Genomic DNA, 15,535 nt, shown 5'->3' on the forward strand with positions numbered 1-15,535 from the left:
AATGATAGACTGGATGAAGAAAATGTGGCACATATACACCATGGAATACTATGCAGCCATAAAAAATGATGAGTTCGTGTCCTTTGTAGGGATATGGATGAAGCTGGAAACCATCATTCTCAGCAAACTATCACAAAGACAAAAAACCAAACACCACATGTTCTCACTCATAGGTGGGAATTGAACAATGAGAACACTTGGACACAGAAAGGGGAACATCACACACCAGGACCTTTTGTGGGGTGGCGGGAGGGATAGCACTGGGAGATATACCAAATGTAAATGACCAGCTAATGGGTGCAACATGGCACATGTATACATATGTAACAAATCTGCACATTATGCACATGTACCCTAGAACTTAAAGTATAATAAAAAATAAAATAAAATAAAATAAATAATTTCTTAAAAAAAAAAGAATCATCTCCTATCCAAGGTATTGAAAATTTATGCTTATGTTTTCTTCTACATAAATTCTTTAAATTCCTTGCATGGCAAGTGAATAATAAAGAGTTGTTAAATTTTGAATGAAAGATCAATGAGTGGGGGAGGTTAGAAAAATTAACGTAGGCCAGGCATGGTGGCTCATGCCTATAATCGCAGCACTTTGGGAGGCCAAGTCAGGCAGATCACCTGAGGTCAGGAGTTCCAGACCAAGCTGGCCAACATGGTGAAATCCCACCTCTACTAAAAATACAAAAATTAGCAGGGTGTGATGGCGGGTGCCTATAATCCCAGCTGGTCTTGGGAGGCTGAGGCAAGAGAATCACTTGAACCTGGAAGGCAGAGGTTGCAGTGAGTTGAGATTGCGCCATTGTACTCCAGCCTGGGTGACAGAGCAAGACTCCATCTCAAAAAAAGAAAAAAAAAAAGAAGAAAAAAGAAAAGTTAATGTAACTTTTTTTTTTCTTAAAATGTTCGCAGCTGGAAGTGGTGGCTCACGCCTGCAATCCTAGCACTTTGGGACGCCAAGGCAGGTGGATCACCTGAGGTCAGGAGTTAGAGACTAGCCTGGCCAACATGTTGAAACCCTGTCTCTGCTAAAAACACAAAAAAATTAGCCAGGTGTGGTGGCAGGCGCCTATAGTCCCAGCCACTCCAGAGGCTGAGATATGAGAATTGCTTGAACCTGGGAGGTGGAGGTTGCAGTGAGCCAAGATCATACCATTGTACGCCAGTGTGGGTAACAAGAGTGAAACTCCATCTCAAAGAAAAAAAAAAGTTTGAAGCTGGGTGTGGTGGCTCATGCCTGCAATTCCAGAGCTTTGGGAGGCCAAGGGGAGCAGACCACTTGAGCCCAGGAATTCAAGATCAGCCTGGGCATCATGGTGAAATCCTGTCTCTACAAAAAAATACAATAATTAGCCTGGTGTGGTGGCACACACCTGTAGTCCCAGCTACCGGAGAGGCTGAAGTGAGATCACTTGAGCCTGGGAGGTGGATGCTGGAGTGAGCCATGATCATGCCACTGCACTCCAGCCTGGGCAACAGAGCAAGACCCTGTCTCAAAAAAAAAAAAAAAAAAGTTTGAATCTATGGAAAACTAAACAAAGCAAAAAAGTGTGAATCTGGCTAGGTGCAGTGGCACTTTGGGAGGCTGAGGTGGGTGGATAGCTTGAGGGCAGGAGTTCAAGACCAGCCTAGCCAACATGGCAAAAACTCCCCTCTACTAAAACTCAAAATAAAAAGCTGGGCATGGTGGCATGTGCCTGTAATACCAGCCACTCAAAAAGCTAATGCAGGAGAGTTGCTTGAGCCCAGGGAGCAGGGGTTGCATTGAGCCAAGATCACACCACTGCACTCCAGCCTGGGCGATCCTATTCATTTGGAATGTACCAATGAACCAAAGACCCCTGGCCTTTTTAACTTATTTTCTCTTTTTTTTTTTTTTTTTTTTTGAGACAGAGTCTCACTCTGTTGCCCAGGCTGGAGGGCAGTGGCACAATCTCGGCTCACGGCAACCTCTGCCTTCTGGGTTTAAGCAATTCTTCTGCCTTAGCCTTCCTAGTAGCTGGGATTACAGGTATGCATCACCACACCCAGCTAATTTTTGTATTTTGATTTTTTAAATCTGCAAAAAACCTGCAACTAATACCATACATAATGGTGAAAAACTAGATGCTTTTTCACGGAGATTAGGAAGAAGGCAAGGATATTCCCTCTCACTACTTCTTTCTAACATCATACTGAAAGTCCTCGCTAATGCAATAAGACAAGAAAAGCAAGAAAAAGACATACAGATCACAAAGGAAGCAATACAGCTCTTTGTTCACATGTGACATGATTGTCTATAGAAAATCTCAAAGAATTGACAAAAAAAAATTCCTGAAATCAATAAGCAATTACATCAAGGTTCAGGATACTAGGTTAATATCCAAAATCTATTGCTTTCCTATATGCCAGAAATTAAAAACTGGATTTTAAAATTAAAAACAATACATTAGCACCAAAATAATAAAATAGGTACAAAGCTAACAAAATATATGCAAGAGCTGTATGAAGAAAACTTTGAAAAACTGATCAAAGAAATTGAAGAACTAACTAAATAAAAAGGTATACCATGTTCACGGATAGGAAGAGTCAATATTGCTGTCAGTTCTGCCCAACTTGATGAATAGATTCCAATCAAAATCCTAGAAAGCTGTTTTTGTGAAAATTGACAAACCAATTCTACAGTATATATGGAGAAGCAAAAGACTCAGAGAAGCCAATACAAAACTGAAAGGTTAGAACAAAGTCAGAGGACTGACACTACCCAACTTTAAGTCTTACCATAATTGAACTACAATAACTTTGAGCTACAGGAATCAAACTGTATTATTGCTGAAAAAATAGACAAAGAGATAAGTGCAACAGAAGAGAGAACCCAGAAACAGACTTATACATATACAGTCATTTCACCTTTGACAAAGAAGTAAAAGCAATACAACAGAGCAAATGGTGTCTTATCAGATGGTGCTGAAACAATTGGATGTCCACACATTAAAAAAGTGAACCTAGACACAAACTTTATTCCTTTCACAAAAATTAAATCAAAATGGATCATAGCCCTAAATGTAAAATGCCAAACTACAAAATTCATACAAGATAACAGAAGAATATCTAGATAACCTTGGGGTTGGCAATGACTTTTTAGATACAACACTAAAGACATGATCCATGAAAGAAAAAAGTGACAAGTTGGAATTTAATAAAATTAAAAACTTCTGCTTTGCAAAAAACACCATCAGTAAAAAGACAAGCTATGGACTGGGAGAAAATATTTGCAAAGGACATATCTGATAAAACATACAAAGAACTCTTAAAACTCAACAGTAAGATAATGAACCAGCTGATTAAAAAATGGCCAAAATATCTTAATAAACATTTTTCAAGATATACAGCTGGCAAATAAGCATAAGAAATATGTTTAACATCTTATGTTATTAAGGAATGCAAATTAAAGCAACAATGACATACCAGTACATTCCAATTAGAATGGCTAACATCCAGCACTAAATGCTGGCAAGGATGTGGGGCAATAGGAACTCTCAATCATTGCTGGTGTGAATACAAAATGGCTCAGCCACCTTGAAAAACAGTGTGGCAGTTTCTTACAGAACTAAACATTCTCTTATCAGACAATGCAATAATTGTGTTCCTTGATATTTACCTAAATCAATTGAAAACTTATGTCTATACAAAAGCCTGTGTGCACATGAATGTTTATGGAAGTTTTATTCATAATTTCCAAAACTTGGAAGCAACTAAAGCAAATTAATAAACAAAAATAAGTTGTGATACATCCAGACAATGGAATATTATTTAGCAATAAGAAGAAATGAGCTGTGTAGCTATCAAAAGAATGGAGGAACCTTAAATGCATATTGTTAATTGGAAGAAATCAATCTGAAGAGGCTACATACTGTATGACCCCCAATTATATGACATTCTGAAAAAGATAGAACTATGGAGACAGTGAAAAGATCAGATCAGTGACTTTCAGGGATTTGGGGAGAGGGAAGGATGACTAGGTGGATCTATAAGATTTTTAGGGCAGCAAAACCATTTTGTATGATACTATAATGGTGGGTACATGTCATTACACATTTATCAAAACCCATAGAATGCACAACACAAAGCATGAACCTTAATGTAAACTATGAACTTCAATTGAGAATGATGTGTCAATGTTGATTCATCATTTGTAACAAATATGCCACACTGGTGGGGAAAGTTAACAGTGGTGGCAAAATCATGTGTGTGTGTATTGTGTGAGGAAGGTGTCTATGTGGGAACTCTGTACTTTCTGTTCAACTTTGCTGTTAGCCTAAAACTTTTCTAAAAATTAAAGTCCATTAAGTAATGTGTGCATCAGTCATCATCAAAGTATTTTTTAGAGCTGACCAGGTTATGCTCACCTGGAGTCCCAGCTACTCTGGAGGCTGAGGCAAGAAGATCACTTGAAGCCAGGATTTCAAGGCTGTAGTGCACTAAGATCATGCCTGTGAATAGCCGCTGCACTCAAGCCCAGGCAATATTGCAAGACCTCATTCCCAAATTTTTTTTAAGTATTTTTAGGCTCAAGCAGGTGCAGGCACTTACAGGCAGAGCAAGCCCCATCTCAGCTGTCCACAGCACAAAATAGGGGTTACCCTAGAGCATTTCCTCGCAGTCCAAAGGGGACTTTCTTATTTATTTTTACCAGTTTGTAGGGGAAACATTTAGTTCCTAGGAGGCCCAGGGACAAAGTCAGCTGAACAGCTGTGAGCCAGCTTCCTGGGAAGCTTTCCAAAAGCATGGCAACATTCAGCCTTCTTGTTCCCAGGGGTGCCACCAACATCATGCTCTTGTAGTGGGTGCTAGACATAGGACACACCTGTGGTCACCAGCCTCTTGCCATTTTTCTTACTTGGTTTTTCCCCTGCTCTAGCCTATTGTGGACATTTTCCTGTTTCATTTTGTGTCTTTTATGTCCTTCCAGAGCACTTGACACACACAACATAGAAACATGCTGTCATATCCCCTTCCCAAGTCTCTCAAGGTCAGTGGTTCTCAGTCTCAGCTACACACTCAAATCTCCTGGGGAAGGCTGGTCACAGGGCTCATGCCTGGAATCCCAGCACTTTGAAAGGCTGAGATCGGAGGATCTCTTGAGCCTACGAGTTCAAGAACAGCCTGGGCAACATAACGAGACCCAGTCTCTACAAATAAAAAAATTAGATGGGCATGGTGGTGTGCCTGTAGTCCTAGCTACTCGAAGGCAGAGACAGCAGGATTGCTTGAGCCCAGGTGTTGAGGCTGCAGTGAGCCTTGATCACACTGCTGCTCTCCAGCCTGGACAACACAGCAAGAATCTGTCTCAAAAACATAAAAAATCTGGGGAGATTGAAAAAATTATAATATCTGCGACCCCCTCCTGAAATTCTGATTTAATTGATCTAGGCATGGGTAGTTTCTCAACCTTCCCAGATGATTCTAACACGCAGCTAAGGTTGCAAATTACTGATCTCAGAAAGTCACTGAGATTCACACCGGCTCCAGCCAGTAATATAAATGGACTTGTAAAAGAGACACTCTTCCTTGCTCTATCCCATCCCTAGAGTACACAGGAAGGTTCTAAGAAACATTCTTTTATCAATTTATTTTTTATTTTTATTTATTTATTTATTTGTTTGTTTGTTTGTTTGTTTGTTTGAGACAGAGTCTCACTCTCACCCAGGATAGAGTGCAGTGTCACAATCTCGGCTCACTGCAACCTCAGCCTCCTGGGTTCAAGCGATTCTCCTGCCTCAGCCTCCTGAGACTAGCTGGGATTACAGGCATGCACCAAGACACCTGGCAAATTTTTATATTTTCAGTAGAGATGGGGTTTCACCATGTTGGTCATGCTGGTCTTGAACTTCTGACCTCAAGTGATCCACCCCATCTTAGTCTCCCAAAGTGCTGGGATTACATGGGTGAGCCGCTGCACCTGGCCCTATCCATTTATTAACTAATTTTAATAGATATATATCGAACACCTACTAAGTATAAGCTAGGTGCTGAGAAAATACAGACACTTCCCTCGAAGTGTTGAGTAAAAAAGCACCATCAATGTAAATATCTCTAATACAAGGGACAAAGTTATAGGATCACCATTTATGGTTTTAGTTTGCACAGCACAAAAATCCTAAGTCACACTCCTTTTTACAAGCTCTGTCCTGACTCAGGGCTGTGTCAGCCAGAAAGAAGAGGAAGGCCTCTTTGTAATTTACCCTAAGGTGCCCCACAGGCTAGGCGGAACCCTGGCCTCATGCAGAATAATCTCAGCTAGGTACTAGCACCATGCCTAGAATATGGGAGGTACTCTATTTTTCCATGTTTATTGAGTAATTAAAAAGGGCTGCCCAGAAGTATTCAGAAGAGAGAATTAATTCTGTCCAGGAGGATTAGGACCAGAAGGGCTGAAGCAGTGACGCTGGAGCAGGACTTGGAGGAATGACGTGACCCTTGGAGAAACAGGGAACAAGCATTCCTGGCGGGTGGGATGACCCATGGAGTAGAGAGTGGATATCTGAGGCATTTATAGCCTTTGGAACATAGCAGGAAGGGACTCCATGAAGCAGGCAAAGTGAGTTGGGGATAAGCAGTGGAGGGCTTGCTGTGGAGTTGAGAATTTCACCAAATTGGGAGTAGTTGCAGGATTTCCAGCTAAGATGTTACACAAACAGATCTTAGCTTTGAGGTTATGCTGGTGGCCCTGCGGAGGAAGGACTCAGGAACGACTGGGGTAAGGCACAAGTAGCCACCCAAGACTCTAAGTAAGAGTTGGAAAGGTCCTTAGTGTCCATGAGAATCCCCAAGGGAACATTACAATTCGATTCCCAGGAGTTCTGAGTTATAGACTGTTTCTCTCTCAGCCCCATGTACACCATGCTCACATTCTGTGTCAAGCCTACCAAGGGCACCCTCAGGTTTTCTGGTTGGCTATCATTACTTTTGCAGTGGGTAGAGCAACAGCCTTTGTGTATATATCCTTAGAAAATCTAATGCGATCAACAGTCAAAGAAGAAATAAAGTTTTGAGAGAGCCTGGGCAACATAGGGAGACTCTGTCTCTACAAAAAATACAAAAATGAGCCGGGCATCGTGGCACATGCCTGTAATCCCAGCTACCCAGGAGGCTGAGGTAAGAGGATCACTTGAGCTTAAGAGTTTGAGGCTGCACTTAGGGTTAGCCATGATCACACCACTGCACTCCAGCCTGGCAACATAGCAAGACCTAATCTCCACTTAAAAAAAAAAAATTAGCCAGGCATGGTGGCTTTAAGAGGATATGACTTCTGAGACCCTCCAAAACTGTTTACAATTAATGGCAAAAGGGCCGGGTGTGGTGGCTCATGCCTGCAATCCCAGCACTTTGGGAGGCCAAGGTGGGCAGATTGCTTGGACCCAGGAGTTTGAGACCAGCCTGGGTAACATGGTGAAAATACATCTCTACAAAAATCACAAAAATTAGCCGGGCAAGGTGGTGCACACCTGTGGTCCCAGCTACTCGGGAGGCTGAGGTGGGAGGATACTTGAGCCCAGGACTTCAAGGCTGCAGTGAGCCGTGATCACACCACTGCACTCCAGCCTGGGTGACAGAGCAAGACCCTGTCTCAAAGGAAAAAAAAAAAAAAAAAGCAAAAGGAAATCAACAACAAAAGAAAACCTTAATCAGAGGGAGATCAAATGACTAATTGTCATTCCTTTCCTTCCAGAGAGCACTACGAACCTGTAACAAACATCCACAAACTAGACCATGAAAACCAGAGTGTAAATAAGCTTCCCCTACATTTTTTGGGTCTTCCTATATTTTGGAGACTCCAGGTAATTTTATTTAGCCTCAGAAGTGACAGTGCAAAGCTGGGCATGGTGGCTCACGCCTGTAATCCCAGCACTTTGGGAGGCCGAGGTGGGTGGATCACCTGAGGTCAGGAGTTCAAGACCAGCCTGGCCAACATGGTGAAACCCCATCTCTACTAAAAATACAAAAATTCGCCAGGCGTGGTGGCAAGCACCTGTAATCCCAGCTACTTGGGAGGCTGAGGCAGGAGAATGGCTTGAACCCAGGAGGCGGAGGTTGCAGTGAGCCGAGATTGAGCCATTGCACTCCAGCCTGGGCGACAAGAGCAAAACTCCGTCTCAAAAAGTAACTAAATAAACAAAAGTGGCAGTGCAATACCCAAAGTCCCCTGCAAGAAAGACTTTGGGTTCATTTCCTGAGATTTACATCTGAAATAAGTAGAAGTAAAGGATGATCGTATGCTCTTATTTCCACATGTTCTTTCATGAAGTCTGAATGCTTTTATTGAAATGTAAAATATTTTATAGCAGCTTGTATTCTGTCATTTAAACAAACAAAAATTCTCAGGTCACATCTGTATTGCTAAACCAGAATGTCTAGAAATAGGGCCAAGAAATGTGTATTTTAACAAGCTCCCAGCTGATTTTGATCTATTGACTCTCCGACTTCAGGCATCTACATAACCTTTGCCGTATTCACATTGCTTTTTTGCTATTACTCACTCAAGTTATTTTAGATTAATTAACTTTAACATTTTATTCATCCTAATCAATACCCATTAAATCATGGGTTTGATGCATCTTAAAAAATATACATCAAAAAACTATTTTAAAAATCCATTTGTGGACTGGATAAAATCAGCTCCTGTACCACCCCACTACTGCCTCCCAAAGCAGCAATTTTGGGCCCAAACCAATTAGAGCCAAACGTTGGTGCCAGTTCCCTCTTTTTTCACAACCCCTCTTGCAAGGCCTGGGGGTGTCTCACAGCCCTGTGGAAAGCCCCTTGCTGCCAAGAGGTTCCCTTCTCCCCCTCTTTTTCCCCTGCCTATATCCTTCTGTCCTCCCAACAAACCTGACTCTCGAGCTATACCTGACTTAGAATAGTGTCACTGAAGCATGTTAGTGAATGTTAACATAGAATTTGGTGATGGGTAGCAGGTTTAGCTTTTAATATGCAAAAGTGGTTTTCTAAGATTGGGACTCTTTTCCAAACAGACATCTTCATAGAGCCCTTTTCCTTTCTTTTTTAAATTTTTAATAAGATGGAGGCTCACTTTGTTGCCCAGGCTGGCCTTGAACTCCTGGGCTCAAGTGATCCTCCAGCCTTGGCCCCCTAAAGTGCTGGGATTACAGGTGTGAGCCACTGTGCCTGGCCTGTAGATTCCTTTTCATCCAGCACCTGGCCAGACCCCTTGCACATCTCTTCAGCCTTGCTTCTCTTCATCTCTCCTCACTCACTAGTTTTTTACTCATTGGAACACAACATCCTCTCTTTTAATACACAAGCTTCCTGCTGCCCCACAGCCTTTGCATTTGTTTTCCTTCCACTAGATTTTCATGTGGCTGCCACCTACACATTTTTCTTGGTTTCAACTTAAATGTCACCTCTTTCCTAGAAGCAGCCGCTGACCAACCAGCTAAAGCTACACCACTTCCTACCCCCCAACAAACACCCTCTACCTCAGTGGTTCTCAACTGTGCCCGCAGGGACATTGTCAGTTGTCACCACTGGAGGATGTGACTGGCATCTAGTGGGTGGAGGCCAGGGATGACGCCAAACACCTTACAATGCACAGGACAGCCCCCTACAACAGAGATTTCTGTCCCCAAATGCCATAGTTGAGAAGCCAGTCTCTATCACAAGATTCTTTCTCTTAGTAATAATCAGTATCAGAAGTGATAGGTTTTGTATTTCTTCCCTACTAAGCTCCTTAGAACCTGGAGTTCAGGGTTGTTTCCTGAAGAGCACCTGACACCTGTGTGACTTGCCACAAATTTGATCCACTTTGACTAGAGCTCACAGCAAGTTGAAGATGGCTGACCCAAACTAAATGATGAGCCAGAGAAAATATCGAGTCGGTTTTCAAATTTGTTCCATTGCTGTTTTGTTAAAACAAAGCTGTTTTGTTTTCAAGAGACAAACAAAAAAAAACTTTTATTAATGAGTATGCATATAAATAAACCTAGACAACCACGAAGAGTCCCTCACAGTTTCATGTATTCACAGAATTATTTCATCTTTAAAGCCATCAGTGAACAATTAGTTCTGCTACTTGTTAAAGTTGTGCAAAATTTCTCAATTTAAACATACAGTCTTAATTATACCACTGTTCTAATGTCCCAAGACTGATTGGAGGTAATGGAATCTCAACAATATCTTAAATAGTAATTTAAAAAATTCATTGCGATCTACAAGACTAATATATCTAAAGGAAAATAATTCATATTCACTAAATTCCTCCCCTTTCTTCCTTCTTACCTATTCTCCCTTTCACTTGACAATTTTTTTCTACAGTATATGATGATGGCCAAATTACCCAATATCAACTGTTTCAAAAAAGAAATGTTATTTTAAAAGATACCATACAGCAAGAGACTTATAGGTGTAACACCATTGAAATTATTTGCTAAGCCCTGGCCAGGCACGGTGGCTCACACCTGCAATTCCAATACTTTGGGAGGCTGAGCAGGCAGATCACTTGACATCAGGAGTTCAAGACCACCCTGGCCAATATGGTGGAACCCTGTCTCTACTAAAAATACAAAAATTAAGTGGACATGGTGGCTATCCCAGCTACTCAGGTGGCTGAGGCAGGAGAATTGCTTGAGCCCGAGAGGCAGAGGTTGCAGTGAGCCAAGATTCTGCCACTACACTCTAGCCTGGATGACAGAGCCAGACTCTGTCTCAAAAGAAAAAAAAAATTATTTACCAAGCTGTGTTTTCGTAGTGTTTTTTAATTCTCCAAACTGCTTCAGTATCTGTAGTGTTTTTTACATTTCAAAGACTTCTCACATGTAACATTTCATTGGAATTAGCACTGTACATCATAGTTGATATGGAAATTATTACATCTACAGATGAAGAAAATGTAGACGTAAAGAACCATTTGCTCTAATGTCATCCAGTGTAACTGCTAAGAGTTAGGATTAGACTCAAGTCCTATCCCTAATCCTGTATACTACCCTAAACTCCTAAGCCCCCATACATTGTACTGCACAGAATGCTACTAGTGACTGTACTCATGCATTCAAACAAGTTTTGGAAATGTGTTAAGCAAAGCTAACCAGATTCCTGGAGTATTACGCATCATAAATCCTCAGGAAGGATCCAGAGAATAGGGCAGTTGCCATAAAGTTAAAAGCCCCACAGGTGTCAGGCAGGTAACAAAGGTGAGCATGCAGGGAACATAAGGATTTGGGGATTAGAGGATGCAGCCCCATCTAGTGGGACCCTGGTCACATAGCAATCCAGTCCAATCTTGCCAGGTCTTTCCAGAGAAACTACAAATCTTGGCTTTAATTTCAAATCTCCAATTTTGTGCATGTTGCCTCAAATTTAAGAAAAAAAGACACTATAGCTTTTAAAAAATAAAATTTTTGACCAGATCGGGCTGGCCACATTTGGGAAAACTGAAATACCATGTATCACAATCTTATTTGCCCACAGAATTTTCCTTCAAAGGACCTATAAATTTCCTAGAATGATAACTGCGTTAAAAAATGTTGCCTCTGGCTGGGCGCGGTGGCTTATGCCTGTAATCCCAACACTTTGGGGAGGCCAAAGCGGGTGGCTCACCTGAGGTCAGGAGTTGGAGGCCAGCCTGGCCAATATGGTGAAACCCTGTCTCTACTAAAAATAAGCTGGGCGTTGTGGCGGGCATCTGTAATCCCAGCTACTCAGGAGGCTGAGGCAGGAGAATCACTTGAACCTGGGAGGTGGAGGTTGCAGTGAGCCAAGATTGTGCCATTGCATTTCAGCCTGGGTGACAAGAGCAAAACTCCATCTCAAAAAAACAAAAACAAAAACAAAAAGTTTCCTCTGAAAGCAAGCATCCTGTTGCCCCAGACAACTATGGTATGGGTAGCTCTGAACCTCAACCATGAATTATTTCAGAGTTTACTCAAACTGAAATTGAAATTAATACCCAGCCTTAACTGTTCATGTAGAAATGTTTCTTTTCTGACAAATCTAGCCCTTGCAAATCTATACTTAGTAGAGAACAGTGTTTCTCCATGTTGGTCAGGCTGGTCTCAAACTCCCGACCTCTAGTGATCCACTCACCTCAGCCTTCCAAAGCCCTGGGATTACAGGCATGAGCCACCATGCCCGGCCGGCAAATATATACTTCTAAACAATTATACTGGTTTAGTATAATTGTTTTTTATATATTTTTATACTGACTAAAGATATCCTTACAATAAGCCTAATTGAATTGTAAAAAAAAAAAAAAAAAAAATACAGGAATTGATTAGATATGAGAAAGACACTTTGCCTTTCCAAAACAATTTTATCTTTTTTTTTTTTCCTTAAATTTTTTTCTTAATAGAGATGGGGTATTGCCATGTTGCCCAGGCTGGTCTCAAACTTCTGGGCTCAAGCTACCTGCCCACCTTGGCTTCACAAAGTGCTGGGATTACAGGCATGAGCCACGGCGCTAGCCTCCTAAACAATTTTAAACATGAAAGTGGTTTGGAGGCGATTTAGAATTTGGGTCAAAACTAGTGAGTTTCAAACACTTATATCTGCAATGTAACTTATAAGGCAGAAAAGGCAGACTTTTCCCTACTCCCGCCTTTTTTTTTTCTTTTATTGCTGATCTTCTTGGTTCTAAAAATTTGTTCAGAAAGCCTGATGGTTGTTTAAATGCTTAGCACCATGACACACGTGTAATAAAAATTGCATAAATGGACCAGGCACGGTGGCTCATGCCTGTAATCCCAGCACTTTGGAAGGCCAAGGAGGCTGGATCCTCTGAGGTCAGGAGTTCGAGATCATTCTGGCCAACATGATGAAACCCTGTCTCTACTAAAAAAATACAAAAAATTAGCTGAGCATAGTGGCGGACACCTGTAATCCCAGCTACTCGTGAGGCTGAGGCGGGAGAATTGCTTGAACCCGGAAGGTGGAGGTTACAGTGAGCCGAGATTTCACCATCGCACTCCAGCCTGGGCAACAAGAGCAAAGCTCCATCTCAAAAAAAAAAAAAAAAATTGCATAAATATGTTAAATCACCTGGCAAATGATTTTCTTCCCCTGGTGTCTATGTGTTCCATACTATTGTAGGCTCTTTAACTGGTAAAACAGCTACCCCAATTCAGAGATCCAGTACTTAATGCATCACATTTCCAGAGTTATGAGAAAACAGCTAAACCTGTGAGTTAGACTCACTTTGTTTCCCCACGGAGGAAATAAAAACCCACGATTTGAAACCTTTGGAAAACATAGGAAATGCAACATTTGGAAGTATAACATAGAAACAAGAGATAATCATACAATGCTTCCAAATGAAGTCTCACGTTGGATTTGCTGGTTTTTAAGACAGATTCCCCTCTTCTGGACAGCTGTGATGGCCAAGATAGAAGTTCATTTGCTATGTTTCCAGGGACTATTCTCTTTGATGTATACAGGATTTATGGGGTCTAAAAAGAACATACAATTATAAAGTGTTCATATTTGAGAGAAAACTGCAATGATCAGAAGGATTGAGCCAGTTTTAGCATAAAAAATTAGGACTACATTAATGATGAGGTTGACTATACACAGTTTGGAGTGAGAGAGTTACTCTACCCAGTATCACTGACATGTTGGAATGCCAGATGAAACTGAAACAGAAAAATTGTCTTGGGGTCTAAAAGACGTCTGATGTGCTGATGTCTGTTCAGTCTTCTGCACTCATGGGCGTAAACTCTCAAAGAGCACCACTGGGTCTTAGTCCGTGGCATAAAGACTATTCTCAATGTAGATATTGTCTTCTGCTTGGACTTCCTTTTCAACTGCATTTTGCAAAGCTTTAATTTGAAGGCTGCTAAATGAAACACTGTAGAAAGAGTTGTTGAAGAATAACATGAGTAAGAAAAAAAGCAGACCACTTCTCACATATAAGCTGCACTTTTGTTTATGATCAGGCAATATCAGGTATTCGAGACTCCAGGAGCCCCGTTCACACAAAGTATAAAATAAATAGTGCCTTCCAGAGTTGTAAAAGGTGTGGCTCTTATTATTAAGTTGAAGAAAAGTCTGTTTAATAAGCATGTAGACAATCTAAGAAGTATTCAAAAACTCAGACTGGTCTCTTTGAAACTCGCATAATAGAATACAAAAATGGAAAATCTAAAAATACAGAGCTCTGACATCAAACTAAGTGGCTGAATCAAGATGCATATTTTCAAATGTGGCTAAGCATTGGATGACTGGTGCTTTTCCAACTGTAGCTTGTGATCCTTTAGAGAGGGTTGTTAAATCTACTTAGCCATCTACATCCTATATTCAAGATAAAAACAGAACAGAGAAACATTGAATATAGTTAAATAGTACTGTTTCACAAGTATACACTGGATCATAGTGTTAAAAATCTTCCTGTGCTGGATGCAGTAGCTCATGCCTCTAATCCCAGCATTTTGGGAGGCCATGGCAGGAGGATCCCTTGAGGCCAGCGTGAGCAACATAGCGAGACCCCGTCTCTACAGATTTTTTTTTTAATTAGCCAGGTGTGGTGGCTTGTGCCCATAATCCTGGCTACTTGGGAGGCTGAGACAGAAGAATCACTTGAACCCAGGAGGTAGAGGTTGCAGTGAGCCGAGATCACACCACTGCACTCCAGCCTGGGCTGGAGACTCTGTCTCAAAAAAAGAAATCAGTAGAAACAGTGGAAATACAAGTGAGGGAAGAAAGTAGACTTAGTTTTAACTTACGTGTAGCATTTTGATGTAACTGGTTATTTTTATATATTTGTATATAGTGACTATTTGTTACCAAAGCCTGCCCCCAAAATATGGAACTTGTCTTCATTCAGCTGCAGATGAAACACATGTCCACACATTTAAAGAACTGTGAAAAACAAAGCTCCACTATGGTCCCTAAACAGGTCAGTCATACATGTGTGAAGACACTTAGTTTAAGTGTCAATGAGCTCAAATGACTCAGTGTGATATAACTGCCGAGAAGATAATGTCATGAAGAAGTGTTCATAATTTGTTAGTGTGGGTTTTTTTTTTTTTGGCTTTTTTTATACTTTACACATTTCTCTTCCATTCCAGAAATATTTATGAGCACAGATTCGTGAGATTGAGTCCTTTATATGCTATGTGATGTGACCTTACATGTCACTCAACATTTCTGAAACTGTTTTCCAATCTGTAAAATGAGAATAGTGCCTCTCTCGCAGTTTATTGCTGTGAAGGGCTTGAATGCAATAACAAAAGTCGATGTGTATTGAGCACTTACAGTATGCTGGGCACTGTTCAGACAGGTTCTGTGGATTGGCTCAGGTAATTAACTCAGACTCAGGAAAGTCTGTGTACAAGCATCCAATGAAGGAGAACTAGACTTAATAGATGGCAGCCTAAGTAAGAGGGATAGATTCTGAATCAGAGAAAGTCCTTGCTTAAAACTCAGCCTGAACCAAATGAAGCAGGCTGGCTGGCTTTAGAACTAGGTAGTTGTCTCCTACCACTACAGGCAGTGTGGCAGATGGCCTTGGGGCATAGATGCAGTAAAGGGGATT

At 41.2% G+C, this 15,535-nt stretch overlaps 1 protein-coding gene across 14 annotated transcripts in view; it reads right to left on the bottom strand.

The window, feature by feature from the left end:
* HAVCR1 (hepatitis A virus cellular receptor 1) overlaps positions 13,421-15,535 on the bottom strand; it is a 39,995-nt gene continuing 37,880 nt past the window's right edge. For all 14 annotated transcript variants that reach the window (XM_024446023.2, XM_047417097.1, XM_024446021.2 and 11 more), the window contains one exon: positions 13,421-13,849. In XM_024446023.2, the coding sequence (XP_024301791.1) occupies positions 13,596-13,849 (254 nt within the window). In that variant the 3' untranslated portion in view covers positions 13,421-13,595. The remainder of the gene's footprint in view (positions 13,850-15,535) is intronic.

This window comes from Homo sapiens, chromosome 5 (assembly GCF_000001405.40).
Source record: "Homo sapiens chromosome 5, GRCh38.p14 Primary Assembly".
NCBI classification, from domain to species: domain Eukaryota; kingdom Metazoa; phylum Chordata; class Mammalia; order Primates; family Hominidae; genus Homo; species Homo sapiens.